General features: G+C 37.6%; 1 protein-coding gene across 11 annotated transcripts in view; it reads left to right on the top strand.

Moving 5' to 3' along the window:
- ZNF680 (zinc finger protein 680) overlaps window positions 1–17,825 on the top strand; it is a 64,003-nt gene that overhangs the window by 21,676 nt on the left and 24,502 nt on the right. For 2 of the 11 annotated variants that reach the window (XR_001744687.2, XM_024446743.1), the window contains exon 4: window positions 5,460–5,577. The exons of 6 other annotated variants lie outside the window; for them this stretch is intronic. Coding sequence is in view for 2 of the 5 variants with exons in the window: in XM_024446743.1 (XP_024302511.2) it covers window positions 5,460–5,577 (118 nt within the window). In the remaining 3 variants the exon portion in view is untranslated. Of the gene's footprint in view, window positions 1–5,455; window positions 5,578–10,649; window positions 10,663–14,878; window positions 16,741–17,825 lie in introns of those variants that run through there. 3 more of the 11 variants (NM_001130022.2, XM_024446746.2, XM_047420312.1) reach the window with 3 other exon arrangements.

The following is a 17,825-nucleotide window of genomic DNA, read 5'->3' as shown; positions in this document are numbered from 1 at the left end:
AAATTTTCTTGCTGTGGGATGATAAGCAAATAAGGAACCTTTTATTTTTCCATCTTACTGATGTCACTCTCCCTATACATTTTTACTTTCTATTTTCTATTTCAAATTTTTCTGTACTTTAGGTTCAGACATTTAGGACAATATGCTAGAATTTACATGATATGGTTGATGTTACTTATAAATTTAAGTTTGCTTCAGGCAAACAGGAATTACAGGATTTTCACCCACTTAAGCATATATCTAAATAACAACATAACTAATTTCTAAATATTTGTTTTATATATAAGAAGTGCTAACCATATTCTGCAAAATATATAATTTTTAAATTTAGCAATGCAAGACTATTGTTTTGCTTCTAAAGTTGGATTACAGTAGTTTTATTTTGTGTAAGAATAGCATATATTTAAAACATAAATACTAATTTCTTGTAAATTTTTGTTTATTATAAATTTATTGTTAGAATCTTTTATTTATAATTATACTGTTTTTTTCCTGAAATTTTATTGCAACACAGCGCATGCCAATGATTTGAAATACCTGCTTTCCATGAGTACACATAGTCAAATATTGTAATTATCTAGACAAATTTTTTAATGGCACATAAATATTGCAAAGCAGATTTTGTGAGTAAACTTCTTTAGTTATTGTTTTGCAGTTCCATATTAGTGTTTTATTTAGTGTACTTTTTAAACATCAGTTTATTGTGATTTTTTGTTTTACTTATATATTTAGACATTTTGCAATTCTGTTTGTAAACTTTAAGTCAACATGGGGTTTAATTAAAAGATAAATCAGCCGGGCTCAGTGGCTCATGCCTGTAATCCCAGCACTTTGGGAGCCCGAGGCAGGTGGATCAGAAGGTCAGGAGTTCGAGACCAGCCTGGCCAATATGGTGAAGCCCCATCTCTACTAAAAATACAAAAATTAGCCTGGTGTGGTAGCGGGTGCCTGTAGTCCCAGCTACTTGGGAGGCTGAGGCAGGGGAATCTCTTGAACCTGGGAGGCAGAGGTTACAGTGAGCTGAGATTGCACTACTGTACTCCAGCCTGGGCGACAGAGCGAGCCTCCATCTCAAAAAAAAAAAAAAAAAAAGGATAAATCAGCCATATGTCTATCACAATCAGTTTGTATATGTGTGTGCTTTTATCTACAAATATGACCTCCATTTTGGTTATGGCTTATTTTGTAGGTATTCTTTCTTAGCTGATTTTCAATGGTTGTCCGATCATATCTAAATGAGTAGTCATGGAAATCGCCTTCTTTTCACCATGTGTTTAATGATGAATATATATTTCTTTTGCATGAGAGAAACACGTTTGTGATTTGAAGATAATTTTTGAAAAGATTTATAAATCTTTATTTTTTCAGTTTTTCTTTTAAAAAATTAATTGTGAAAATATAACATAAAATTTACCATCTTAAATTCATTGAAGTGTACATTTCAGGGCCAGGCATGGTGGTGGCTTACATCTGTAATCCAGGGATTTTGAGAGGCCAAGACAGGAGTATCACTTGAGCCCAAAATTTGGAGACCAGCTTGGGCAACATATAAAGACCCAGTCTACAAAAAAAACTATTTTTAAAGACAGGCATGGTGGTGTGCACTTGTGGTTTCAGCTACTTGGGAGATTGATGGGGGAGGATTTACTTCAGCCTGGTTAAGGCTATAGTAAGCCATAATTGTGCCACTGCACTCCAGCTTGGGTGACAGAGTGAGATCCTGTCTGAATAAAAGTTGTACATTTCGAGCATGTTAAGTGTATTCACACTGTTAGGCAAAATACTTCTAAAAGTTTTACATCTTGTAAAACTAAAACTCAGTACACATTAAGTAACAACTGCCCATTTTACCCTCTCTTCAGCCCTTGACAGACACGCTTCCACTTTCTGTTTTTATGAGTGTGACTACTTAAGATATCTCATAAGTGGAATCATACAGTACCCATCATTTTGTTACTGGCTCATTTTAGGTGACATAATTCTCAACATTTATAATAAAATGGGACAAGATTTTCTTTTCTTTTTTTTTTTTTTTTTTTTTTTTGAGACGAAGTTTTGCTCTTGTTGCCCAGGCTGGAGCGCAGTGGTGCCATCTTGGCTCACCTCTACCTCCCAGGTTCAAACAATTCTCCTCCCTCAGCTTCCCAAGATTTTTTTTTAAGGCTGAATAATATTCCATTGTATACATATGTTACTTTTTTTATGTATTTATAAATCAACATCTGGATTGCTTCAGCATTTTGGCTTTTTTTTTTTTTTTTTTTTGAGATGGAGTCTTGCTCTGCCTCCCAGGCTAGAGTGCAATGGCACAATCTTGGCTCACTGCAGTCTCCGCCTCCCAGGTTCAAGTGATTCTCCTGCCTCAGCCTCCTGAGTAGCTGGGATTACAGGCACCCACCACCACACCTGGCTAAATTTTGTATATTTAGTAGAGACAAGGTTTCACCATGTTGGCAAAGCTGGTCTCAAACTGCTGACCTCAGGTGATCCACCCGCCTCCGCCTTCCAAAGTGCTGGGATTACAGGTGTGAGCCACTGTGCCTGGCCGCGTTTTGGCTTTTGTGATGCTGGTACAAGAAACATAAATGTTCAAATATGTCTTCCAGGTCCTGCGTTGCATAGTTTGGATGTAGATCCATAAGTGGGATTGCTGTATTTAATAATTCCATTTTTAATTATTTGAGGAACATTTATAACATTTGTAAATAATGGTTGCATCCTTGTTTTGCACCAACAATTAACGTGTTTTTGTTGCAAATTTTCATTGCATCATCAACTGATTTGATGTTTTCTAGAAAACTTATAGTGGCTATTATAATGGGTGTAAGAGGATTCTGTTTTTCATTGTGATTTTCATGCATTTGTCTACAAATTAGTATTTTGTGTATCCTTTCAAATGCTTTTTTGCATTTGTATCAATTTGATGAAAATTTAGTTCAATTATTTGTCCACTTCTAAGTTGTTATTCAACTTTATAATTCAGTTTTAATAGTTGTTTATATATTCTGAATATTAACTCCTATCACATGTGATTTGCAAATATTTTCACCCATTTCCTAGGAGGCATCATTACTCTTTTGAATGTTTTCTTTGATATGCAGAAATTTTGAAGTACTGTGTAGTTCAGTTATTCTGTTCTTCTCTTTGTTGCTCATGCATTTAATGTTGTATCTAAGAAAATGGTGCCAATACCAATGTCATGTTTTTTTCCTATATTTTTTCTAAGAGATTGTTATTTTTTAAATTTCTAAATATTTTATTTCAAATATTCTTTGTATATAGTTCAAGGAAAGGATTCAGCTTTATCAGTGTAGATAACCTGATTTCAACGTTATTTTTTTGAAAAGATTATCTTTTCTCTATCATGTGTTAATGGTGACTTAGTGAAAGATCATTTGATCATACACAAAAGCGTTCTTTTCTGGGCTCTCTATTCTGTTTTTGTTTGTTTTTTTGTTTTTTTTTGGAGATGGAGTCTTGCTGTGTCACCCAGTCTGGAGTGCAGTGGTGCTATCTCAGCTCACTGCAAGCTCTGCCTCCCGGGTTCACGTCATTCTCCTGCCTCAGCCTCCCAAATAGCTGGGACTACAGGCGCCCGCCACCACGCCCGGCTAATTGTTTTTTGTATTTTTAGTAGAGACAGGGTTTCACTGTGTTAGCCAGGATGGTCTCGATCTCCTGACCTTGTGATCTGCCCGCCTTGGCCTCCCAAAATGCTGGGATTACAGGCGTGAGCCAGCGCACCTGGCCGTCTATTCTGTTTTTTATCTCTTTATATGTCATTGTGTCAGTACCACATTGTTTTTGCTGTTGTAGCTTTTAATATGTTTTTCAATCAGGAAGTATAATGCTTTTTTTTCATGGTTGTTTAGCTAGTTATGATCATAATCAAATTAAAAAATTTTAAACATTTCTGTAAAAAAAACTGTGCTATTGGGATTTTTATAGAGATCATATTGAATTTTTTTACCACTTTAGGTTATATTGACATCTTAACAAAATTAAATTTTTTGACCCTTGAGCAAAACTATGTCAAAGAGTATGTTTTATTTTATTTTAAATTAAATTAAATTTAAAGACAGGGTCTCACCTTGTTGCCCAGGCTACTTTCAAACTCCTAGGCACAGGTAATCCTTCTGCCTTGGCCTCCTGAAGTTCTAAGTTTACACATTTGAGCCACTACACCCAGCCTGTGTGTTTCATTTTCATATATTTTTGGATTTGCCAATTTTACGTTTGCTTTTAATTCCTAGTTTTATTAAGTTTTTGTCAGAAAACACACAGTGTATGATTTTGGTGTTCTTAGATTTATTCATCATTGTTGTTTTGAGACAGGATTTTACTGTCACTCAGGCTGGAGTGCAGTGGCATAATTTTGGCTCACTGCAGCCTCAGCCTCCTGGGCTCAAGTGATCCTTCCACCTCAGCTCCCCGTGTAGCTGAAACTACAGACATGCACTATCATGTCTAGCTATTTTTTTTGATTATTTGTAGGGACAGGGCCTCACTGTGTTACCTAGGCTGGCCTGAAACTTCTTGTGCCAAATGATACTCCCACCTTGGTCTCCCAAAGTGTTGGAATTATAGGCATGAGCCACTGCACCCAGTTGTTATTGTTAAATTTAATAAGACCCATTATGTGTTTTAACAGAATACACTAGGTGCAAATAAGAATATCATATATTCTGTTGCTTTTGACTGAGAAGTTTTTTATGAGTCTGTTAAGCCTAGTTGTTCTATGCTATGGTGTGGGTGTCCGTGTTCTCCAGACCTCATGTTGCAATGTAATCCTTAATGTTGGATGTGGGACCTGGTGGGAGGTGTTTGGGTCATGGGGGCAAATTCCTCATGAATGGCATGACGCCATCCTCGTGGTAATCAGAAAGTTTACACTCTATTAATTCAAATGAAAGCTGCTTCATTAAAAGAACGTGTTTCCTTCACCTCACACTTGCTCTGTCTCTTACCATGTGATATGTCCAGTTACTCTTTGCCTTCCATCATGATTGTAAGCTTCCTGAGACCCTCACCAGAAGCAGATGCTGGCACACACTTCTTGTACAGTCTGCCAAAGTGTGAGCCAAATAAACATGTTTCTTTATAAATCATCCACTCTTAGCTATTCCTCTATATGCAAAATAATCAATACAGTCTATAATGTCTAAGTTTTCTGTTTTCTTATTAATCTTTTCTCTTAATTTTTTATTATTGAAAATGGGGTCTTGATATCTACAATTATTATGTTGCTATGTATTTCTTTCTTCACCTTTGTCAATATTTGCTTTATATATTTTGGAGACCTGATGTTATTAATACACATACATATAGATAGATAAATATGATAGTTATAGATTCCTGGTAAATTGACCCATTTTACTTACCATTATATAATATCAATCTTTGATTAATGCTACTACTTGACTTATTTGTTTGTTTGTGTTTTTGTTTTTTTGAGACAGAATCTCATTCTGTCGCCCAGGCTGGAGTGCGGTGGTGTGATCTCGACTCACTGCAACCTCTGCCTCCCGAGTTCAAGCAATTCTCTTGCCTCAGCCTCTCGAGTAGCTGGGATTACAGGTGTGTGCTACGATGCCTGGCTACTTTTTGTATTTTGGGTAGAGATGGGGTTTCATCATTTTGTCCAGGCTGGTCTCGAACTCCTGACCTCAAGTGATTCACCTGCTTCGGACTCCCAAAGTGCTGGGATTACAGGCATGAGCCACCGTGCCTGGCCAAGTACTTCACTTAAAGTATATTATATCTAATATAATGATGACCATCTCACCCAATCGTGGTTACTATTGGCATGAAATAAGATTTTTTTCATTTTGTTACTTTCAGCCTATTTGACTCAATGCTAAAATGAGTCTCGTATAGAGAACATATTGTATGCTTTTTTACTGAAGCCATTCAGGCGTCTTATTTCTTTTTCTCTTTCTCTCTCTCTGTCTCTCTCTCTCTCTCCCTCCCTCCCTCCCTTCCTTCTTTCCTTCTTTCCTTCCTTCCTTCTTTTCTTTCTTTTGTTCTTTCTTGTGGCCTCGCTCTGTCAGCCAGGCTGGTTTGCAGTGGCGTGATAATTAATGACCCACTGCATCCTCAACTTTCTAAACTTAGAAAATTCTCTAACTTCAGCGTCTCCAGTAGCTGGGTTACAAATATGCACCATCACATCCAGTTAGTTTTTTTGTATTTTTGATAGAGACAATGTTGTCCAGACTGGTCTCAAATTCTCTTTTATTTTTTAAATTTTATTTTTCTATAGGGTGTTTGGTTCCATGAGTAAGTTCTTTAGTGGTAATTTTTTAGATTTTGGTGCACTCATCACGTAAGCAGTATTCACTACACCCTATTTGTAGCCTTTTATCTCTTGCCCCCCTCCCACCCAAGCCCCCCCAAGTCCCCAAAGTTTATTGTATCGTTCTTATGCCTTTGCATCCTCATAGCTTAGCTCCCACATATCAGTGAGAACATACAATGTTTGGTTTTCCATTCCTGAGTTACTTCACTTAGAATAATAGTCTCCAATCTCATCCAGGTCACTGCAAATGCCATTGGTTCATTCCTTCTTATGGCTGAGTAGTATCCTATATATATACCACAGTTTCTTTATCCCATTGTTGATTGATGGGCATTTGGGTTGGTTCCATGATTTTGCAATTGCAAATTGTGCTGCTATAAACATGCGTGTGCAAGTATCTTTTTCAGATAGTAACTTCTTTTCCTGTGGGTAGATACCCAATAGTGGGATTGCTGGGTCAAATGGTAGTTCTACCTTTAGTTCTTTAAGGAATCTCCACACTGTTTTCCATAGTGGTTGTACTAGTTTACATTCCCACCAGCAGTGTAGAAGTGTTCCCTGATCACCGCATCTGTGCCAGCATCTACTGTTTTACGATTTTTTGATATGATCATTCTTGCAAAAGTAAGGTGGTACTGCATTATGGTTTTGATATGCATTTCCCTGATCATTAGTGATGTGGAGCATTTTTTCATATTTTTGTTGGCCATTTGTATATCTTCTTTTGAGAAATGTTTATTCGTGTCCTTAGCCCACTTTTCGATGGGATTGTTTGTTTTTTTCTTGCTGATTTGAGTTCATTGTAGATTCTGGATATTAGTCCTTTGTCAGATGTATAAATTGTGAAGATCCTTTCCCACTCTGTGGGTTGTCTGTTTACTCTGCTGACTGTTCCTTTTGCTGTGCAAAAGCTCTTTTGTTTAATTAAGTTCCAGCTATTTATCTTTGTTTTTATTGCATTTGCTTTTGGGTTCTTGGTCATGAAATCCTTGCCTAAGCCAATGTTTAGAAGGGTTTTTCCAATGTTATCTTACAGAATTTTTATAGTTTCAGGTCTTACATTTAAGTCCTTAATCTATCTTGAGTTTATTTTTGTATAAGGTGAGAGATAAAGATCCAGTTTTATTCTCCTACATGTGGCTAGCCAATTTTCCCAGCACCTTTTGTTGAAAAGGGTTTCCTTTTCCCACTTATGTTTTTGTTTGCTTTCTGAAAGATCAGTTGGCTGTAAGTATTTGAGTTTATTTCTGGGTTCGCTATTCTGTTCCGTTGTTCTATGTGCCGATTTTTATAATAGTAACATGCTGTTCTGGTAACTATGGCTTATAGTATAGTTTGAAATCAGGTAGTCTGATGCCTCCAGATTTATTCTTTTGCTTAGTCTTGCTTTGGCTATGTGGGCTCTTTTTTCGTTCTGTATACATTTTAGAATTGGTTTTTCTAATTCTGTGAAGAATTATGGTAGTATTTTGATGGGGATTGTATTGAGTTTGTTTATTGCTTTTTGCAGTATGGTCATTTTCCACAAGATTAATTCTACCTATCCATAAGCATAAAATGTGTTTCCATTTGTTTGTGTTGTCTATGATTTTTTTCAGCAGTGTTTTGTAGTTTTCCTTGTAGAGGTCTTTCATGTAATTGATTAGGTATATTTCTAAGTATTTTATTATTTTTGCAGCTACTGTAAAAGGGGTTGAGTTCTTGATTTGATTCTCCACTAGGTCACTGTTGGTGTATAGAAGAGCTACTGGTTTGTGTACATTAATCTTATACCTGGAAACTTTGCTCAATTCTTTTATCAGTTCTAGGAGTTTTTTGGAGGAGTCTTTGGGGTTTTCAAGATAAAAGATCATATCACCAGCAAACAGTGACAGTTTGACTTTCTCTTTACTGATTTGGATGCCCTTTATTTCTCTTGTCTGATTGCTCTGGCTAGGACTTCCAGTGCTATGTTGAAGAAGAGTTGTGAGAGTGGGTATCCTTGTCTTGTTCCAGTTCTCAAAGGGAATGCTTTCAACTTTTTTCCCATTCAGTATTATGTTGGCTGTGGGTTTGTCATAGATGACTTTTATTACGTGGAGGTATGTCCCTTGTATGCCAATTTTGCTGAGAGTTTTAATCATAAAGAGATGCTGGATTTTGTCAAATGCTTTTTCTGCATCTATTGAGATGATCATGTAAGTTTTAACTCTGTTTATGTGGTGTATCACACTTATTGACTTGCATATATTAAACCATCTCTGCATCCCTGGTATGAAACTCACTTGATCATGATGGATTATCTTTTTGATATGTTGTTGGATTCAGTTAGCTGGTATTTTGTTAAGGATTTTAGCATCTATGTTCATCAGGGATATAAGTCTGTAGTTTTCTTTTTTGATCATGTCCTTTTCTGGTTTTGATATTAGCATGATGTTGGCTTCATAGAATGAATTAGGGAGGGTTCCCTCTTACTCTGTCTTCTGGAATAGTGTCAATAGGATTGGTACCAATTCTTCTTTGAGTGTCTGGTAGAATTCTGCTGTGAATCTGTCTGGTCTTGGACTTTTTTTGTTGGTAATTCTAAAATTACCATTTTAAAAGCTACTTGCTTTTGGTCTGTTCAGGGTAGGAGGGTTTTATTTTTACAGGAATTTATTCATCTCTTCTAGGTTTTCGAGTTTATGTGTGTAAAGGTATTCATCGTAGCCTTGAATGATCTTTTGTATTAATGTGGTATCAGTTGTAATATCTCCCATTTTGTTTCTTATTGAGGTTATTTAGATTTTCTCTCTTCTTTTCTTTTTTTTTTTTGAGATGGAGTCTCTCTCTGTTGCCCAGGCTGGAGTGCAGTGGTACGATCTCGGCTCACTGCAAGCTCTGCCTCCCAGGTTCAGGCCATTCTCCTGCCTCAGCCTCCCGAGTAGCTGGGACGACAGGTGCCCACCACCATGCCCGGCTAATTTTTTGTATTTTTAGTAGAGATGGGGTTTCCCCGTGTTAGCTAGGATGGTCTCAGTCGCCTGACCTTGTAATCTGCCCCCCTGGGCCTCCCAAAGTACTGGGATTACAGGCGTGAGCCACCGTGCCTGGCCTATTTATGTTTTCAAAGAAACAGCTTTTTGTTTCATTTATCTTTTGTATTTTTTTGCTTCAGTTTCATTTAGTTTTGCTCTAATCTTGATTATTTCCTTTCTTCTGTTGCATTTGGATTTGTTTTTTTCTTGTTTCTCTAGTTTCTTGAAGTGTGACCTTACAGTCTCAGTTTGTGCTCTATCAGTCTTTTTGATGTAGGCATTTAGGGCTATGAACTTTCCTCTTAGCACTACCTTTGCTGTATCCCAGAGGTTTTCATAGGTTGGGTCATTATTGTCATTCAGTTAGACAAATTTTTAAATTTTCATCTTGGTTTCATTTTTGACCCAATGATCATTCAGAAGCAGGTTATTTAATTTCCATGTATTTGCATGGTTTTGAAGGTTTTTTTGGAGTTGATTTCTAGGTTTTTTTTTTTTTTTTTTTGAGACGGAGTCTCACTGTGTTGCCCAGGCTGGAGTGCAGTGGCACGATCTTGGCTCACTGCAAGCTCCACCTCCTGAGTTCACGCCATTCTCCTGCCTCAACCACCCGAGTAGCTGGGACTACAGGCACCCGCCACCATGCCTGGCTAATTTTTTTGTATTTTTTAGTAGGGACGGGGTTTCCCCATGTTAGCCAGGGTGGTCTTGATCTCCTGACCTCGTGATCTGCCCACCTCAGCCTTCCAAAGTGCTGGGATTACAGGCGTGAGTCACTGCGCCCGGCTGATTTCTAGTTTTATTCCACTGTAGTCTGAGAGAGTGTTTGATATAATTTCAATATTCTTTAACTTATTGAGGCTTGTTTTGTGGCCTATCATATGGTCTATCTTGGAGAAAGTTTCACCCGCTGTTGAGTAGAATGTGTATTCTGCGGTTGTTGGATGGAATGTTTTGTATATATCTGTTAAGTCCATTTGTTTCAAGGTATAGTTTAAGTCCGTTGTTTCTTTGTTAATTTTCTGTCTTGATCTGTCTAGTTCTGTCAGTGGACTATTGAAATTCCCCACTCTTACTGTGTTTATCACATTTTTTAGGTCTATTAGTAATTGTTTTATAAATTTAGAAGCTCCAATGTTAGGTGCATGAATGTTTAGGTTTGTGATGTTTTTCTGTTGGACAAGGCCTTTTATTATTATTATTATTACTATTATTATTATTATTATTTTTAAATTTTTTTTTTTGAGATGGAGTCTCGCTCTGTTGCCCAGGCTGGAGTGCAGTGGCACAATCTTGGCTCACTGCAACCTCCGCCTCCTGGGTTCAAGCAGTTCTCCTCCTCAGCCTCCCGAGTAGCTGGGATTACAGGTGCCTGCCACCACACCCGGCTAATTTTTGTATTTTTAGTAGAGATGGAGTTTCTCCATTTTGGCCAGGCTGGTCTTGAACTCCTGATCTTGTGATCCACCTGCCTCAGCCTCCCAAAGTGCTGGGATTGAACCAGCCAAGGCCTTTTATTGTTCTATAATGTCCCTCTTTGTCTTTTTAAACTGCAGCTGCTTTAAAGTTTGTTTTGTCTGATACAAGAATAGCTACTCCTGCTCACTTTTGGTGTCCATTTGCATGAAATGTTTTTTTCCACCCCTTTACTTTAATTTTATGTGAGTTCTTATGTGTTAAGTTAGTCTCTTGAAGGCATCAGATGGTTGGTTAATTCTTATCCATTCTGTATCTTTTAAGTGGCAGATTTAGGCCACTTACATTCAATGTTAGTATTTAGATGTGAGATACCATTTCATTTATCGTGCCATTTGTTGCCTGTGTACCTTGGTTTTTGTTTTTTTGTTTTTGCTTTTTAAATTGTATTTTTGTTCTATAGGTCCTGTGAGATTTATGCTTTAAAGAGGTTCTGTTTTGGTATATTTCCAAAATTTGTTTCAAGATTTAGAGCTCTTTTAGCAGTTCTTGTAGTAGTGGCTTGGTAATGATGAATTATCACAGAATTTGTTTGTCTGAAAAAGACTATATCTTTCCTTCATATGTGATGCTTAGTTTCACTGGATACAGAATTCTTGGCTGATAATTGTTTTGTTTGAGGAGGCTGAAGATAGATAGGGCCCCAGTCCCTTCTAGCTTGTAGGATTTCTGCTGAGAAATCTGCTGTTAATCTGATAGTTTTTACTTTATAGGTTACCTGGTGCTTTTGTCTGACAACTCTTAAGATGTTTTTCCTTGTCTTAACTTTAGATAACCTGATGGCAGTGTGCCTAGGTGATACTCTTTTTGTGATAAATTTCTCAGGTGTTCTTTGTGCATCTTGTATTTGGATGTCTAGGTCTCTAGTAAGGCTGAGGAAGCTTTTCTCGGTTATCAACCCAAGTGTGTTTTCCAAACTTTTAGATTTCTCTTCTTTCTCACAAATGCCAATTATTCTTAGGTGTGGTCATTTAACATAATCCCAGACTTCTTGGAGGCTTTGTTCATATTTTCTTATTATTTTTTCTTTGTCTTTGTTGGATTGGGTTAATTTGAAGACCTTGTCTTTGAGCTCTGAATTTCTTTCTTCTATTCATTCAATTCTATTGCTGAGACTTTACTGTAAGTGTGTCCAGTGTTTCCTGAAGTTTTGATTGTTTTTTCTTTATGTTATCTATTTTCTTGAATATTTCTCCCTTTGTTTTGTGTATTGTTCTTTGAATTTCCTTGCACTGGGCTTCGCCTTTCTCTGATGCCTTTCTTATTAGCCTAATAACTAACCTCCTGAATTCTTTTTCAGGTAAAACAGGGATTCCTTCTTGGTTTGGATTTATTGCTGGTTAGCTAGTGTGATAATTTGGGGGCGTTAAAGAGCCTTGTTTTGTCATATTACCAGAGTTGGTTTTTTGGTTCCTTTGCAGTGGCGTAGGCTCTGTCAGAAGGAAGGTCTAGGGCTGAAGGCTGTTTTTCAGATTCTTTTGTTCCCTTTATTTGGTATTCTACCCTTTTCCTGTGGATGTGGCTTCCTGAGAGCCGAGCTGTATTGATTGTTATCTCCCTTCTAGGTATAGCCACCCAGCAAATCTACCAAACTTTGGGCTGGAACTAAGGGTTGTCTGCCCGGAGTTCTGTGTTGTGAACTGTTTATGGGTTTCTCAGCTGTGGATACCAGCACCTGTTTCAGTGGAGGTGGTAGCGGGGGTGAAATGGACTCTTCCAGTGTTCTTAGCACTGGTGATTTAATGCTCTCTTATTGTGCTGATTTGCCTCCTTCTGGGAAGTGGTGCTTTCCAGAGAGCATCAGCTGTGGTAGGGTGGAGAGGAACCCAGTGGGTGGGGCCTTACAACTTCTTAGAGTATATGCCCTTTGTGTTCAGATACGAGTGTGGGTAGGGAAGGACCACTGGGTAGGGGCAGGGCTAGGTGTGTCTGAACTCAGACTCTCCTTGGGTACATACTGCTTTGGCTGCTTTTGAGGATGGGGGTGAAGTTCCCAGGTCAATGGATTTATGTACCTAGGAGGATAATGGCTGCTTCTGCCAAGTCATGCAGGTTGTCAGGGAAGTGGGGAAAAGCTGGCAGTCACCTGCCTCACCCAACTTCTACACAATCCAAAGGGCTGGTCTTACTCCTACTGTGCCCCACCTAACAGCACCAAGACTGTTTTCACGCAGTTAGCAAGCTGGGCTAAGAACTTGCCCCAGGCTACCCACCTCCTAGCTGTGAAAGAAAAGGGCATTAGTTCTTCCCCGGCCCTGTGACCTGTGACCTGTGGAGTCTGCAGGATGGATTTGATGGATTCTCGCCCTTTGCCGAGTTCTGGCCCGGAGGCTTCTCAGCTGGTTCAAATTGTCACAAAGTTCAGCTGGAGGTTTTCTTCTCCCTGTGGTGTTTTTCTCGTGCCTGTGGCTGCCCTCCAAAAAGATCCTTGTGATGCCAGGAAGGAATGGCCTGCTTGGGGACCCAGTGAGCTCCTAGGGCCTTTTCTGCTGCTTCTTCCACCCCCCATATTTCACTTGGCTCTCAATTGACTCACCTCCAGGTAAGGTCGGCATCTTCTCCCACAAACTAGACCTTCAGTTTCCCCAGTGGGGGTGCATGTTCAGCGGTGAAGGATCTCCCTTTTCCACTTCTGCAGTTTGTATACTCACAGTATTTGGGGTGTCTCCTGAGTCCTGTAGGAGCAGTCTGCTTCATTCAGAGGATCTGTGGGTCATTTCAGGTTTCCTGATTTATTCCTGCAGTTATTCTGAAGCTAAAATTTATGACGCAAGCCTTCACACACTGCTTTGTTCGCCTGAGTTGGAGCTGCAGTCTAGTCCTGCCTCCCATCCACCATGATGCCCCCAGATTTGTCCTCAAATTCTTGAGATCAACTGATCAGCCCACCTTGGCTTCTCAAAGTCCTGGGATCACTTTTTTTTTTTTTGGAGACAGAGTTTTGCTGTTGTTGCTCAGGCCGGAGTGCAATGGCGCCATCTCGGCTCACCACAACCTCTGCCTCCCGGGTTCAAGTGATTCTCCTGCCTCAGCTGCCCTGGTAGCTGGGATTATAGGCCTGTGCCACCATGCCCGGCTAATTTTGTATTTTTAGTAGAGACGGGGATTCTCCATGTTGGTCAGGCTGGTCTCGAACTTCTGACCTTGGGTGATCCACCCTCCTCGGCCTCCCAAACTGCTGGGATTACAGGCGTGAGCCACTGTGCCCAGCACCTTTTTTTATTAATTAGTTTAATTAATGTATTTTTAAAATGATTGCTTAAAGAAATAAAGTTACTATTATCAGTTTATTGTTATTGTTTTATGTGTTTCTTGTAGATATGTTTTCTTTTTCATTGTTCATTTTAGTGCTTATTTTTGTTTGTTTATTTATTTATTTATTTATTTGAGACAGAATCTTGCTCTTATTGCCCAGGCTGGAGTGCAATGGCGTGATCTCGGCTCACTGCAGCCTCCGCCTCCTGGGTTCAAGTGATTCTCCTGCCCCATCCTCCTGAGTAGCTGGAATTACCGGCACCTGCCACCACACCCAGTTAATTTTTGTACTTTTAGTAGAGAAGGGGTTTCGCCATGTTGGCCAGGATGGCCTCGAACTCCCGACCTCAGGTGATCGGCCCACCTCGGCCTCCCAAAATGCAGGGATTACAGGTGTGAGCCACCTTGCCCTGCCAATTTTTGGTTAAGTTTGTTGTGACATACTTTGATTATTTTAAAATTTGTTTCACATACTTTCTGGAAATACAATGTAATTATCTTGAAAAGTGGAGATTACATAAAACATCTTAAAGTTAAAACAATATATTTTAATTTCATAACAACTTCAATTTAATGCAAAAACTAATATGTTTTCCAGTTTTTTGTTGATGTTAAAAACTATTATTTTTTATTGGGTATCGACAGATTTATGCAGACTTATTTTTAGTTTCTCATATAGAATAACTTTAAAGGTTTTATGCTCCATCATTATGAGAGTAAAGAATTGTATGTGTGTGTGTATATTTACATTTAATAGCTTTATATTTATATATAGTTTTATGATGCTGTCCAGCATCATTTTTTTTTTTTAAATAATGGACTCATTTTAGCATTTCTGTTTGTTTATATGCAGAGTCTTACTGTGTTGCTCAGGCTGATCTTGAACTCCTGGTCTCAAGTTATCTTACTGCCTTGGCCTCCCTAAAGATGTGGGATTACAGAAATAATCCACTTTGCCAGGCTACTATGTAGCCCTTCATGTAGAACTGTGCTAGTCATAATGAATCATAACACTGTCACCTTTTATTTTGAAAAGTCTTTATTTTTATCTGTTTTTAAAGTACACTAATCTTGAATCAAGTATTCTTGGTTAGGAATTTTATTACTGCATCAAAATTTGGGAAGTTCTTAGCCTTTTTCATCTACAAGTAACCTCTACATTACTTTTTCCCTACATTCTTCTTCTAAGAGTTTTTTAATGAATATATTGATGTACTTGATGGTGTCCAATAAGTTTTACATTTCATGTTTTAATTTTCTTTTGGAATTTTATATTTTTGTTTTATATATTTTAGGATATGCCACCTCACATGAGTTAATTGTTTTGGTTTTTTAGTTTATATTATAATTGAGTATGCCAGTATTTAACTCTGTAAAATTTAAGACAGTGTGGAACAAAGTCAAATATGAATCAGCCATATGTCTACTACCAATATAACGATCTCTGTGTTTACCTGTATAAATATTTTCCCTGTTCTTTTTATGACTTGTATATTTCTGGTATAGGTTTGTTGCAAATGGTTATTTAATCTTGACTAGGTGAGAAGTCATAGAAATTCTCCTAATTTCAACATCTATTTATTCATGGATCTATATTATTTTTGTGTGGGAGAAAAACTTTTCTATTTAAAGATAATTTACAAACGATCATAATCTCTTTTAGGTATGTCTATTTTTACTTGTCAAAAACACATAACATTTACAATAGAATATTTTTAAATGTTTATTTTAGTCCTATTATATTGACATTGTTATGCAACATATTCCTAAAATGTTTTTATCTTGCAAAGCTAAATATCAATACCCATTAAAAAACTATGAATTTTACCCATTTCCTGGCACTTTTCAAACACCACTCTGTTTTCTCTAAGAGTGTAACTGCTTCATATATCTCATACAATCTCTGTCTTTTTGTGACTGGCTCATTTTATTTTGCACAATATCATCAAGCTTTATAGTTGTTAGAATATTTTCTGCTTTTTAAATACTGGGTGATATTTAAGTATTTTGTATTTTAGATTATATCTACTGAGTAATTTGGTGACAAATTTGCACTGCTTTTACCTATTGGCTTTCAGTAACAATGCTGCAATAATTACAGGTATGCAAATGACCTATATGATCATATATGTGTAAGTTTATATATGTGCCGCATTCTGTTCTACTAGTGTACGTTTTTACCTTTGTACTCATACCAAATTGTTACAATTCTGTAGCTCTGTAATGTGTTTCAAAATCAGAAACTGTAATGCCTTCAAAATTGTTTATTTTATTGCAGATTTTTGGGTACTTTATTATCTCTTAAGACTTTATATACTTTGGGGGTTGCTGTTTCTATTTCTTCAAAAATGCATGAGAAATTTGAACAACATTGCATTAAATCTGTAAATTACATTGAGCAGGATGGACATCTTCACAAGATTAATTATTTTAACATTTCAACAAGCATGCTCAAGAGTGTATTGTTTTAATTTCTATGTATTTGTGAATTTTTCAGTTTTTTCTTCTTACTGTTCTATACTCATTTCATTTTGGTCATAGAAAGTAATCCATAAAAATTTAGTTTTAAATAATTTGTTAAGACTTCTTTTTTGGTTTACCAGGTTTTCTATCAAGGAGAATTTCGTATGAGGTATTGAGAAGGCTGTTTATCATTATGTTGTTGAGTGTTCTTTATGCCTCTGTTATTAATAATTGTTTTATACTCCCTTCAAGTCCGGTTTCTTTACCAATATTTTGTCTTTTTAAAATCTTTATTACAGAAAGTGAAGCATTAAAATATTCTACTATAATTATATTGCTCTGTATGTGTTTCTTTCATTCTGACTGTATTTGCTTTATATATTTGGAAACTTAATGTGAGATACACACACTGCTATATACAAATTTGTCATTGGTTCCCAGTAAATGAATCTATTACTGTTTAATATTCTTCTTTGTGAGCCAGGCGTGGTGGCTCATGCCTATAATCCCAGCACTTAGGGAGGCTGAGGTGGGTGGATTGCCTGAGGTCAGGAGTTTGAGTGAAACCTCGTCTCTACTAAAAATACAAAAAATTAGCTGGGTATGGTGGTGGGTGCCTGTAATCCCAGCTACTAGGGAGGCTGAGGCAGGAGAATCGCTTGAACCCGGAAGGCAGAGGTTGCAGTGAGCTGACATCTCACCATTGCACTCCAGCCTAGGCAACAAGAGCGAAACTCCATCTCAAAAAAAAAAAAAAAAATTCTTCTTTGTCTCTTTGGAGTTTGACTTCAAGTATATTTCATAAAATATGACAGTTTTTGACTTAAGATGTATTTTGTGTAATATTTTGACCTCTTCTTCTCTCATTTGATTAATATTTACATGAAATGTGTACTTTTGTCTTGCTACTTTCAGTCTGTTTATCATTAGATCTATCCTGGCCCTTGTAAAAAGGCATGTTGGATCTTGGTTTTTAAAATTCTTTTTTTTTTTTTGAGATGGAGTCTCGCTCTGTCGCCCAGGCTGGAGTGCAGTGGCGCGATCTCAGCTCACTGCCAGCTCCGCCTCTTGGGTTCACACCATTCTCCCGCCTCAGCCTCCCAAGTAGCTGGGACTACAGGCGCCCACCACCATGCCCAGCTAATTTTTTGTATTTTTAGTAGAGACAGGGTTTCACCATGTTAGCCAGGATGGTCTCAATCTTCTGACCTCGTGATCCGCCCGCCTCGGCCTCCCAAAGTGCTGGGATTATAGGTGTGAGCCACCACGCCCGGCCTTAAAATTCTTTTAATAAATCCCTTTAATGAAAGTATATCTCTTGATTGGAAAGTTAATTT

The sequence above is a fragment of the Homo sapiens genome, chromosome 7 (assembly GCF_000001405.40).
Source record: "Homo sapiens chromosome 7, GRCh38.p14 Primary Assembly".
Classification (NCBI taxonomy): Eukaryota; Metazoa; Chordata; class Mammalia; order Primates; family Hominidae; genus Homo; species Homo sapiens.
Note: the sequence above shows the minus strand (reverse complement) of the source record. Positions and strands in the feature narration are given on the sequence as shown.